This window comes from Homo sapiens, chromosome 10, assembly GCF_000001405.40.
Source record: "Homo sapiens chromosome 10, GRCh38.p14 Primary Assembly".
Lineage (NCBI taxonomy): Eukaryota > Metazoa > Chordata > Mammalia > Primates > Hominidae > Homo > Homo sapiens.
The window spans coordinates 110,070,003-110,082,629 of NC_000010.11; the positions used below are offsets into that span (position 1 = coordinate 110,070,003).

At 37.2% G+C, this 12,627-nt stretch overlaps 1 protein-coding gene across 30 annotated transcripts in view, besides 1 other annotated feature; it reads left to right on the forward strand.

Moving 5' to 3' along the window:
• Positions 1-12,627, forward strand: part of ADD3 (adducin 3) — a 139,193-nt gene that overhangs the window by 73,630 nt on the left and 52,936 nt on the right. For 6 of the 30 annotated variants that reach the window (XM_047424587.1, XM_024447797.2, XM_024447806.2 and 3 more), the window contains exon 2: positions 9,238-9,295. The exons of 12 other annotated variants lie outside the window; for them this stretch is intronic. The gene's annotated coding sequence lies outside the window, so the exon portion shown is untranslated. Of the gene's footprint in view, positions 1-5,615; positions 5,708-7,041; positions 7,711-9,237; positions 9,296-10,948; positions 11,095-12,627 lie in introns of those variants that run through there. 12 more of the 30 variants (XM_047424588.1, XM_024447796.2, XM_024447805.2 and 9 more) reach the window with 6 other exon arrangements.
• Positions 2,512-2,581: an enhancer, noted in NCBI's record as "active region_4003". NCBI's record gives its function as "activates an Ori minimal core promoter by ATAC-STARR-seq in GM12878 lymphoblastoid cells {active_cell/tissue: GM12878}" and the evidence as "EXISTENCE:reporter gene assay evidence [ECO:0000049][PMID:35858748]".

Below are 12,627 nucleotides of genomic sequence, written 5' to 3' on the forward strand. Positions count from 1 at the left end.
AATCTGTGATACTTTTATTTAAAGTAAAGCCATGTATTAAAAGTTTATTAAAACATATATTGTCTTTTTTTAATCTTTTTCCTCTTCACCCCATACATATATACTCATTCCTTTTAGACCAAGCTCCAGGGTAACTTGCCCTGTAACCTTTCAAATAGGCTCCTTTCTCTGAATATATCTGTAGTATATCTGTAGTATATCTATTATAATAACAGAGTGTGCTACAATTGTCTCTCCCTCTCCCCTGCCCCAACCCACTAAATTGCTAGTATTTTAGGGTCAGAGACAATGTCTCGTTCATTTCTTACATTTTTTACCATGATACCTGTTCACTTGTAGCATGTAATAGTAGGGGAATGAATAGTTAGTAGAATAAATGTATTTAAGAAAAAAGTAGAAAAGAAATATATGGTGAATTGATTTACCAACTCAGAATTTAAATATAAATTTAAAAAATCTAAAATCAAAGTAGGTTATGTGATCAGTACTGCTGTAGGTTGCAGAGAATAAATTGATACTCTACACTTTAGTTATGTTTGGGAGCAGTATGTATGATTCTGTAAACTGAAATCCCTCTAATATGTACAGAAGAAATACATTTACAGACTAGTTTTGTTTTTGTTTTCGTTACACCTTCTATCATGCCACTGAGTATATAGCAAATCTATCAACCATTGAGTGGAAAAACACATTAAGATGCTTGAAGGCAGGCAGAGTTATGCAGGGGTTGAAGGATAAAGATTGGGGGGTAGGGGTGCAGATAACCAAACTTGTCTCTCGCCCTGTCTTGGAAAAAGCTTACTTATCATATCTGAGGACTCTTAAAGCATTAATTTTAGAGGCTGGGATGTGGCTCTTGTCATATACAGGCAGCCCAAGTTCTACAGCTAGATCTCAGAGAAGCTGAGAGTGTTAGTAGGCCTACAAACACATCATGTGGGTTTTTTTTTTTGTTTGTTTTTAGTTTTTTGTTGTTTTTGGGGGGGGGGGGTGGGGAGCCAGCTTTGCCTCCTACCTATCCAACAGCAGTGTTTGAAGCTAAGTGCTTGAATTTGTTTTAGGAGGATAATTTTTAGAAACATTATTGATACTTAAATTTCCCAAGATTAAAAAAAAATTGGGGGAATGGCTTTTACTGGGTAAAGTATTTGAAACGTAAAACATATTTTTCCAAGTAAAATGATGTCTCATAGTTGGAAAAAGCAATTTAAAAATGCCTACAGAGCCCCATATCCTTAGATGGAACAGCTCAAAGCAAAAGTAACATTTTTAACAAATTGCAGGGGAGAGGGTTTCAGTCCAACAAAATAAAAAGGCTCTTTAGGTTTGCTATAGAACATTGTACCTATAATCAACAGTAATGTATACTTAAATTTAAGAGGATAGATCTCATGTATTCTTGCCACAGTTAAAAATAAAAGTTATACCTCAAAGATTTAGAAAGTAAAAACAAATTGCATGTGTCATGAATATTTCGTATATTGTGGCTATATTTCATTTTGTTTTTACTTGTTTTCTATTCCGTTTTAGAACTTTTCCCAAAACAGAAATTATTCATGATTGCAGATTTTTTTAATGGCACAAATAGATTTATTCTTCACTTTTTATTCTGTGCTTTTTTCTTTTTCATGTAGTCTGTGTCTTCACAAGGTGTTAATAAAATGCATAGTTTTCAGAAGTACTATGCCATCAGTAGAGTCAAAGCCATATTATGTCTTTCTACCTCTAGTTTGGCAACCTTGAAGATACAATACAACCTCACTAGTTTGGTGAATTTTTGTTTTAAATGGGGATCATGCCTAATCTTTAGACCTAATGACTTACTGAATTTCAACCTCAGCTTTAATAAGCTGAACTTACCAATCATTGTAGGTTATGTTGTGTACATTTTTTTATCCAGAAAAAGCCTATTTTGAACATTAACCATATTTCACTTATCCCCAACCTTGCCTTTTCTATAATTCTTCCTTTTTAAATCCTGGATTACCTGTTTTAACAAATAACCATCTATCACATATTAAATAGGCAAGGGACATTATTCATTTACCATGTATAATTTTATTTATTTATTTATTTTTAGACGGAGTCTCTCTCTGTCACCCAGGCTGGAGCGCAGTGGCGCAATCTCGGCTCACTGCAAGCTCCGCCTCCTGGGTTCACGCAATTCTCCTGCCTCAGCCTCCCGAGTATCTAGGACTACAGGTGCCTGCCACCACGCCCAGCTAATTTTTTTGTATTTTTTTTAGTAGAGATGGGGTTTCACCATGTTAGCCAGGATGGTCTCAATCTCCTGATCTCGTGATCCCCCAGCCTCGGCCTCCCAAAGTGCTGGGATTACAGGCGTGAGCCACTGTGCCCGGCCACCATGTATAATATTTTTTAAACTCCTTTTTCAACCCCTGGTCTAGGTCCTGAGGGGCCCTGCCCTCAAGTTGCACACTGTACGTGTGAGAGGTATACCCAGGGAACAGACAGTTAGTGTAAGGAGTGCTATGTTGGAAGTAAGCCAGAGGGTTGTGGGACTTGAGGCTTTACCGGGTGGAGGCCTGTAGGAGGCTTTTCTTTACAAATCCGTCTTTGCAGGAGAGGCTAAACCAGGGCATCCCTCAAATAGGAAATTATAGAATATAGTCAGAAATGCCTGCAGACAACAGTTGGATTTCACCAACTTGGATAGTCTCTCATTATCTTCTGAAGCATGAACACCATGGTCAGCATTTTTATCAAGGAGTTATCTATGTGGTATTATCACTTGTGAGAACAGTTAACTGGGAGAACAAAAGCTCTGAGAGAGTAAGAGCTACTCTTGAGCCCTTCTACAGTTCAAGGGACATCTCTGAATTAAAACTATAGGATGGCAGACTGTTTCATGAAGCTTCCTCCTACATAGAACTCACACAACTCTTACACCTTGGCTTTGGTTTACTTTTTGTCCAGGCCTTTTTTTCTCCCCTTGAGTTTTACTCCCTCAGCTGAATCCCACAACTGAGTTTTCTTCAACCTAGAACCTCCATAGTGTGTGTAAAATTGGCCTATTGTGAAAATCACCAGGGATGAAAAAATCACTGTTCGACTTATCTCCATTGCCACTAGTTGTATGACCTTATTTGCTTAACCTCTTTGAGTTTTAGTTTTCTTTTTTTTTTTTTTTTTTTTTCGAGACTGGGTCTAGCTCTGTCACCCAGGCTGGAGTGCAGTGGCATTATGTCGGCTCACTGCAAGCTCCACCTCCCGGGTTCATGCCATTCTCCTGCCTCAGCCTCCCGAGTAGCTGGGACTACAGGTGCCCACCACCACTCCCAGCTAATTTTTTGTATTTTTAATAGAGACGGGATTTCACCGTGTTAGCCAGGATGGTCTCGATCTCCTGACCTCGTGATCCACCCGCCTCGGCCTCCCAAACTGCTGGGATTACAGGCGTGAGCCACCGTGCCCGGCCCTAGTTTTCTTATCTGTAAAGGAGGCATCATGACAGTACTACCGATAGGGTTGCTGTGGAAGTACATGGAATAAGTATGTAAAGTGCACGGCACAGCAGTCTAAATTATTCCAGTGGCACTTTAACTGCTGAGCAGCATTTAGATCTCTGAGGACACACAAGTTTGCACAGTTGGTTTTTAATCTTTTTAGTATTTCATGCATTTTACTCTGATCATCTCCTTGCCCCCTATTTTTCTGTCATTTTGCTTTCCTTTTTGGAGAGTGTTCATCCTTAGTTGTTTTGTTTTTATTATAACTAAATGCCTATTACCATTCAGCACTTAACGGATGGTTTCAGTGGGCTAAGCTCTAAGCTCTGTGCTATCTGTTGGAATACAAAGGTGCTCCCAACTGAGTAGAGGAACCCATGGAAGCAGCCACCTTCCCACCCCCGACTAACATGAATTTAACCTGATTTAAACAGTTTAGACAGACCTTTTTTTTTTTTCCTTAGCCAGTCTTGTAGTAGATGGAGAGGTTACTTTCCATAGACATTTCAAGCTAGACTGAATGTCCCACAGAGCTGAAGCTTGCCAAGCAAAGCTCATCTCTGTGGCTGTTTTAAGTCACTAATAGTTATACCACATTTCTAGAAGTTGGTGTCACCATCAGCCAAAGATTAAACTTGTCTCCTCTCCTCCCCCAACCCGATATATCCTTGACCAGATGATGTTTGTTCAAAAGGAAAAGCCCTTTTTTTTGGTTTTGTACTTTTAGTCTACCACATGTTTGAGATGCCTAGTAGTTCCTTAACAAATCAAACTTTGTGACTTCGGGATTCATAGCACTTTAGTTGGAGACAGTTTCTCATTGTGCTGGTTTGATTTCTGGCACTTGAAAACATCTCCATTTGGAAGCTTATGGAATGTTTCATTCACTCCCCTATTTGGAGTAGACAGTTTGTCTTCTCTTCATTGATCAAGCCCTAGACCCTAGTGGTGCCCAGAGTGAGTGTCCTGTCTATGTTGTATTTGAGAATGTACAGGCACTAGGAGTGCGTGAACTCTTGTGCAGCTGACGTTGATTGGAGGGCAAAAGGGGAAGGGGAAGGCCCTTAGGACAATGAATTCAGTCATGGGGCTACCTCATTTCCTTTTTTTTTTTTTATCTTAAACAAAGCTAAAATATGTTTTCAATTACTTTGTTTTTAAAATGCTATCTTTCTCTTTTTGCTAACTTTCATAACAATAACTAATCGCAAGTCATTTTATGTACTGAAAATACAATATGACAGAATGACATTTTACAAAATTTAAATGAAACAAATATTTGAAATAAAATTGGAGTTGGAGGACAGGAGAGAAGGGGGATAGCATGCTTCATGAGTTGCACACAAGCTCATACTTTAGTTGTTAAGCCTCTGGCACTCAGTAGAGTATTTTTATTTAAAATCTACAAAACTGAGGAGGCGGGAGGGAAGGAGAAATTTCACTGCTTGAAAGTTACCCTAGAAGATTGGATCTGTAAATTTACATGAATCCCTGAAACAGGCGTGTATGTGAGTGCCAAATAATATCAAGACTAACCAAGAAAAACTTGCTTTTCTGCATGATTGTGGTGGAAGCATTGGTTCCCAACAACTTTCACATTTATAAGGATTTTTTAAAGGGACTAACTACACATTGGGCAAGTAGCTGTGTAGTCCAGAGTATTGGCTGGATTTAACATACTGAGGGCATGTGGATTCCTAAGAATGTCACACCTTGTCTGTGCCAGTAAATCAGAGTGTCTATTCTTGATACTAAATCTGATATCATTGGCAGATTTTCTCCTTTATTGGAAGGGTGATATTCAGAAGGGAGAATATTTTTTCATGTATTTTGCTCTCTCTGTGATTGGGGTGTTTTTATGGTTTTTTGTTTTTTTTTTAAAGCTATGAAATAATACTGGCAAGTCCCAAGAAAACTAGATCTGGATTTCATTTTGTCTCTTCAACTCTGTGTGATCTTGTGCACATTCCTGACATGTTACAAACAGCTTGTGTCTCTGAATGTGCAGTATCAATTTTCAGTGGTGAAAGCCCCAAAAGGAAACAGACTGATTCTTCCATGCACAAACAGCTGGGCAGTTGTGGATGGAATTAATTGCTGATATATATTGGCTGTGTTTTTCTTCTCTTGTCATTTCCTTTGCAGCTGTGAAAGTGAAGTTTGGCTTGAAAACACATTCTGCCAGTGCAAATCCAAAAAGTATCAAGACAGGATTCTTCTACTATAATAACCAACTGGTAACTTTGAATTGTTAGTTTGAGGGGGGAGATGAGGAAGAGCCAAGAGATAGCAGCAGGTGATTGATAATTACATAGATGGTTGAAAAAATAAATCATGCTGTTAGACTATGAGAAGAGTATGTTGGAATGGTTAATTTATCATGTGGCAAGAGTGACCTCATAATCCAACAAAGGCAAGATCAATCAACAGCCCCTCACTAGGGTCCTGAGAGAGGATGTTCTAGGCCATCTCTCAAAATATTGAAATGTTCAATACTCCAGACTGAATTATTGTTCCAATGTGAGAGAGTAGCTCTTGGCTAGAGTAACATGACAACATGCATCATTAAAAATAATATTTTCCTGGTGTTCTCTCAAATCCTTTTCCATTGTTCATTTTAAATTCTATGTAAACAATTACATAGTTTTTTATATGCTTATTTTACTCAAACTTTAATTTTATGATTATAGGAATTCAATTAAAAATAACTCTTGGTTGTGTTTCTGAATATGCGTATACAGAAAACAGTATTGGTTAAAATCACTTGAATAAGTATCAGATGTTTGTTAATAGTTTCAATAACTGATAAATTATTTTAGATCCTATTAAAGATATTTGTACAGTATTTATACATACTGTGGAAAACTTTTTAAAATAAAATTCCTACAAAATTATTGAAAAAGTGGGTGAGTATAAAATTTTTTAAAGTATGGTATGCATAATAAATAATTTTCTTTTTTACATGTACATTTCAATATTCTACCAGAGCAACTCCATAAATTCAAAATAAATCTTATTTTGAAGGGAACTATTGCTAGTTGATAATAAAACGTTTTTATTGTTTGTGTATTGCTAGGAGAACTAGAGCACTGGTGAGGAGAGAAAGAGGTAATTTGTGTTCATGGTCAGGACCTCCAGAAACAGGCTGAAGTAATGTTTTAGAATGAGCAATGCTTCTGACACCTTGAGATATGTAAAAGCTGCTGTTGCTAAACTTAGAAGTTGGCATGGTTGGACTTCCTTTATAGTACTCTACTTCCATCTAACATTCTGTTGGTTGAACTGTGTGATCTGTCTTGCATTTTATCTTTACTTTCTTCACAAACAAGAAATGAGAATACATTTTACTTCAAGGCAGGAAAGCTGATCTACAAACATGAACTCTCCCCCACTTTTTTAGGAGGACTAATGAATTAATTGTGACTCCAAGGCTCTGAAAAATGTGTGGCAATATTAATGTGCAGTTTGCTCTCACTGAAGTCTGCCTGGGTGTGTTGTTTCCCCCAGAGTGAGCTCCACCCTTGCTCTAACCACATTGAGTGTGGATATCTTGCTCTTTAAAACAAAGTTCATTGTTAGGGCAGTATTGCAACAGAATTGCCACACAAAAACCAGCTTAAGAAATGTACAGCACTTCAATTTTTTTGTAAGTAATGGATTGTCTATTGTAATACTGATTGCTCACAGCTTAAGGGGAAACACAGATAAGATAGATGGTTAAGCTTTGTGCCAGCTGCTAGTAACATGCAATATTCTTCTTTGGGAGGAGCCTCTGGCTTTATCACTCCACTAAGTTTTTTTTCTTTTAGTTCACTTGTCTGCTTTTTTTTTTCTTTCTCTTTCTTAAACAGTTTACTGAATTGTTATTTTTAACGATTTTGGGGATGACACTGACTGTTCAAATGAAGGCAAATAGTATTCTCCCAAATGTGCTAGTTATTTAACTTGAAAATGCTTGAAGCAGTGTTTTGTACTGAATTTATTGGACCCATTAATAGCATAATCTGGCAATACTGTATTTCGAGACATCGTGACATGAACTTTGTGTGTAAGAGTGGGTTCATTGAATTAAAAAAAAGGCAGCTTCTAAAGAGCCTTTTATTTCTGTCATAATGATGCTTTGTCCTGTTGCTGTTGGGTATTTGTCAGAAGAGTTGGGGCAGGCTGCAGCCCAAAGTTCTGTTCCATGCCTCATCAGTTCCGTGCTTCTGTGTTCTTTCTAGAGTTTGTGACGTGAATGGTGAGTTGAACTATAGGAGAATTATTGTTGTTCATTGAGGTCCATGTTCAGCAATTTTTTTTTTCGCAACTGGGGGTCTGTCTGATCTTTTTTCCCCCTCACACACTGAGTTTCTCTTTGTACCTGAGTTTTAAATGCCTTTGGAGTGTTTAATTATTCACTGACTGAAGTGGGCATGTAGAGAGAGAGAGGCTGTGCTTTGTGTTATCTATACTCTCTGGTGTGTGGTCATGTGTACACTTTGGGTAGACACTCATTTGGTGCAAGCAAACTGAATAACTGCCTCTGTTGAAATCAAATCTGAATGTTGAAAATGGCTAATTTCTGTAAGGCTTGCAGGGGTGACATTGTGTCATCCTTTTTGAACTAAGACTTCTTAGCATCTCCTTGCTTCAGCTTCCTCCTTTTTACTTGGTAGTAATTGGATTTAGCTGACTTCTAACTTCATAAGGATGTAAGAATAAAGCACAGGTGTGGTATCATAGCAAAAAGCACTAGCCTGGGAATCAAGAGACTGTTTTACCTCTTTGGACATTAGTTTCTTTACCTGTACAGTTAGGAATTTAGGTTAGCCTCTTCTAAGATCTTTTCTAGCTTTGAGTACCCTAATTTTCTTTGTAAAGACACATGACTATCCCAGCAATGCTAAAGGGAATATGCTAGAATTGAGAGAAAAATGTTTGGATGTTAACTCAGTAATTCTTATAAGTGACATGAAAACTAAAGCTTTACTTTAAGAAGTTGTGTCTGTCAGGAATTTTGAAATTTACTTTTTAATATCTGAGTAGTAGAACTAGCTATATAAATCATCTCATCAGCATTTTCAAGTTGAAATTAGGCCAACCTCCTGCCACAAGTGTTTTCGTGGACCTGGCTACTCGTGGACATTGGCTACTCAGTGTACAGCTATTAGTTGTGTAGCCTTGGGTAAAAGTGGCTTTCAAACTTTTTTCAGTATATTTTGCATCATGACCCAATCATGACACACACGAACCACTTTACATCTCTGAAATAAATCTCTCTTACAACACAGAAAATGCTATTTTCTGTTATGTTTCATTTCAAAAAATATTGGTTACAATGTACTGTCCCTTTGAACTCTGGAGGAATACAGTTAAACTTCGACTTTTACAGTTATGCTGGAGCAAAGCTTGCCAACGAATTTGCTGTTAAATATTGAAATTAGAAGATTTTTAAATAGATTTTTATTTGGAACTTTAATAGAAAATCATAGTTAATATCTCCATTAATACTCTTATCTTTTCCTAAATACATAATATAAAGAAAATGGAATATTTTTTACCAAGCCCTGTGAATCTGCCCCTCAGTCTCCTCCTTTTTACTCCAGTCTGCTATACAAGCTTTGTCTTATTTATGCATACCCTATTAGTGAGAACTAATAGACATACCATGACATGAAAAGCATTGAGAAGGCTTTTCTAGAGAACTAGATATAATGTGTCATGTACATTAGATATAGAGTGTCAGATTACCATTGATAAACCCTTTCTTTATCTTCATCACCAGAGTTGTCTCCCAGAGCTCCGTGGAATTTCCTTTCTCTGCTTTAACGTACTTTTAAAAGGTAATTTTACTAAAAAATGCATATGGTAAAAAGATGAAATAATATAAAAGGGCATGTGACAAAATGTTTTTCCCACCCTAATCCCTCAGCCCCACTCCCCAGAAGGGAATTTATTTTTCAAAAAAATGATGAGAGAGAGAGAGAGAGAGAGAGAGAGAGAGAGAGTGTGTGTGTGTGTGTGTGTGTGTGTGTGTGTGTGTGTGTGATCTACCTGAACATCTTTTTAATACATATAAAATTATACCATTATGTATCTACTCTTTTCCTTTTTTTTTTGAGACAGAGTCTTACTCTGTCACCTAGGTTGGAGTATAGTGGCGCGATCTTGGCTCACTGCAACCTCTGCCTTCCAGGTTCAAGCGATTCTCCTGCCTTAGCCTCCCGAGTAGCTGGGATAACAGCTCGGCTAATTTTTGTATTTTTAGTAGAGATGGGGTTTCACCATGTTGGCCGGGCTGGTCTCAAACTCCTGACCTCAAGTGATCCACCTGCCTCAGCCTCCCAAAGTGCTGGGATTGCAGGCGTGAGCCACTGCACCCAGCCTACTTCATTCTTTTTAATGGCTTTATAGTACTTTATTGTGTGGATGGATGTACTGTAACTCAGTTATTCCTCCTTTGATGGATATTTGGATCATTTCCAAGTTAGTTCCCATCCCCTCTCCATCAGACGTACTTATGCTATCAGTCTTCTCCTACCTCCGTTTTGGGATAGAACCCAGAACTGGGGTACTATAGGGAAGGTATAATAGTGCTGTGTGGAAATAGAAAATTCCCTTACCAACTTCTATGTATCAGACTAGGGCTCCAAAACTAGGCCGCACTATCCCAGGCATTCATGGGTCGGGGTGGGTAAGAACTGCCCCAGGAGGAAGTCATTTCTCCTCAGAGCAGTGAAAGAACATTGGGTTCAAAGTCGGGTAACTTGGGTGTGGTATTGGGGTGGGTCACCTGACCTCCTTGAATCCTCAGTTTTACCATCTATAAAATAAGAGATTGAAATAGATGAGTTTTAATGTCCCACCCAACTTCAATATTTATGTAGTATTTTTGTTGGAATATTGATTTAAACTGGATAACCCAAATTATATGAAGTTTCTCATATTTAAATTAAAAACATCTATTGTATATATTGTGTGGTCTGTAATTTATTTGACCTTCCATGTGGCCTAAGCTATTTTAAAGTTTAAGAATGTAAAAAAGGAAAGTTGAATATCATTCTATATTTTACATAAACTATCCTTTTCTCAAAAGTCAATTTCAAAAGTATAAAACCCATTCCAGAATTAAAAGCAAATCCTTTTTATCAAGCTTGAATATTTGAGGAGGAAGATTGTGAAGTTATGTTTGTTTTTAAAATGGATCCTTATAATTTTTCAGTGAGTCCGACCATTCAGAAGTAATCCTAGGGCTTTGAAACTTGGCTTCAGGTTTCTTGTTTAAACTGTTTGCACATTCTAGCCCTTTAATCCATCTCCTTGTTTCGTTAAATGCTAAAACTGACATTACTTAACATAATTAAAGTTTTCAGATTTGATGCTGAGGAAGCTGCTTTAGAGGTGAACTATATCCTGCCAGCAAAGTTACAAAGTTACATGGCAAAGTTATAAAGTAACAAAAGCAGTATTTTTGCTGTATCACACATAGGATATTTAGCATTGGGTAGCATTACCTGTTTCACAGTTTTAGTTTCATAATTCAATCAAATGACAGCTGTTCTAAAGATAAAATGATGTAAGGACTTCAATTGATTTGTGTAATTACAACTGGAAGATAAAAGACATTTTCTTGGCCAATAAGGTAGGAGAGAGAGTTTGTATGTTTGTGTGGTGGTTACCTTAGTTTCTTTGCAGAAGGCTTAATATACCTTGAATATACTTTTCTATAATCTGAGATATTATTATTATTCAAATAATGCTAGATAATTATTAGTGTTCCTTGTTAATTTTCATACGCATTTTTTGACATACAATTCCACTTAGCAAAATGTATCGAAGACCTTCTAGCAGCCAAGCACTGAGTTAAATGCTAGGAGTACCTAGGTAACTGAGACAGTCTTGCTTAGAATCCTCTAAAATGACAACTGCTCCTGTTCCTTGCGTTGTTGGAGCTTTCTAATATCCACTGGTGATTGGAACTTGGCAAAAAATATATATATATTTAAATTCGAATCTGTGAAAATAGATGAAAAGTATGTTTTCAGTGTTTAAAAAGAAGGTCTTAATGTCTTAGTACAGTGTCAGTTACTTTGGAGGCACACTCTTCTGTATGAGGCTCTGCTGGTGACACCAGTTTCTCACTAATTGAACTCTAAGTAATGCTGTGGTGCTTGGACTAATTAATTGAGGCTAAATTTTTGTCTACTAAAACGTATCTGATGTATAAAAAACTGTTGGAATTATTGTGCTTCACCTATTATGATTTTTTAACAATTGCTTATATGAAACCACGCTTGAAAATGGTCACCCTCTGTTTTGAAGATACATCCTGATGGCTTCTTTGTCAAATTACCCCATCCATTGTGGCATGTATAACTAAGGAAATTCTTCATAGTTAGAAATATACAGGATGCTGCTGTCTACAGGATGTTGAACAAACTTTGAAGCATTTGAAGCCATTTTAGGAAAACAGTCCTATGGTGGCAAAATCAGTCAAATAGATTGTAGTTTGAGCTGAAACAGACATTTTAAACGAGAGAAGGGGAAGTCTCATTACCCTGGTCTGTTACGCAGTCCCAGAAGGCACTGCTGTTTCTGCTTTGGAGCCCAGCATTTGGCTAGGGTCCTGTGACACACAGTGGGAATTCACTTCCTATCAGGAAATGCTGTTTTTCAATGTATTATCTTGCTGAGACAACCACAGTGAACAATAGGCTATTAACGTTTTAGAACAACAAGTGTCATGACTAAGCCAATATTTGCTTTGTTTTGAGTATCACTCTAAAAAAAAACTTTGGCTGAGCTTCAGAATACATTTGACCATCAGTAACTGTTGGGCATAAAAGTCATGACAGTTAAAAAGATCAGAAAAAAAATGCTTTAATAGTGGTTATGACCTTTTGCAGGCTTAGCTTACTCTACACACTTCCTGTCCTTAGATGAGAATGAATTATTTTAAACATACCTTTTGGGTATGAAAAATGTCCATTTAAAGACCTATTTTGAGTTTTGGAAGCCATGAATTCAAGTTCTGTAAAACATTAAACTGTCTTACGAGATAGCTTATTCGGTTTACTTCTCTCCACAATTATTAATAAACTGGAAAGTCCTTAAGGGCAGGAATCAGAGCTGTGCCTTAAATAGTCTTTATAACCTTTTTCTAACACCTGAATTA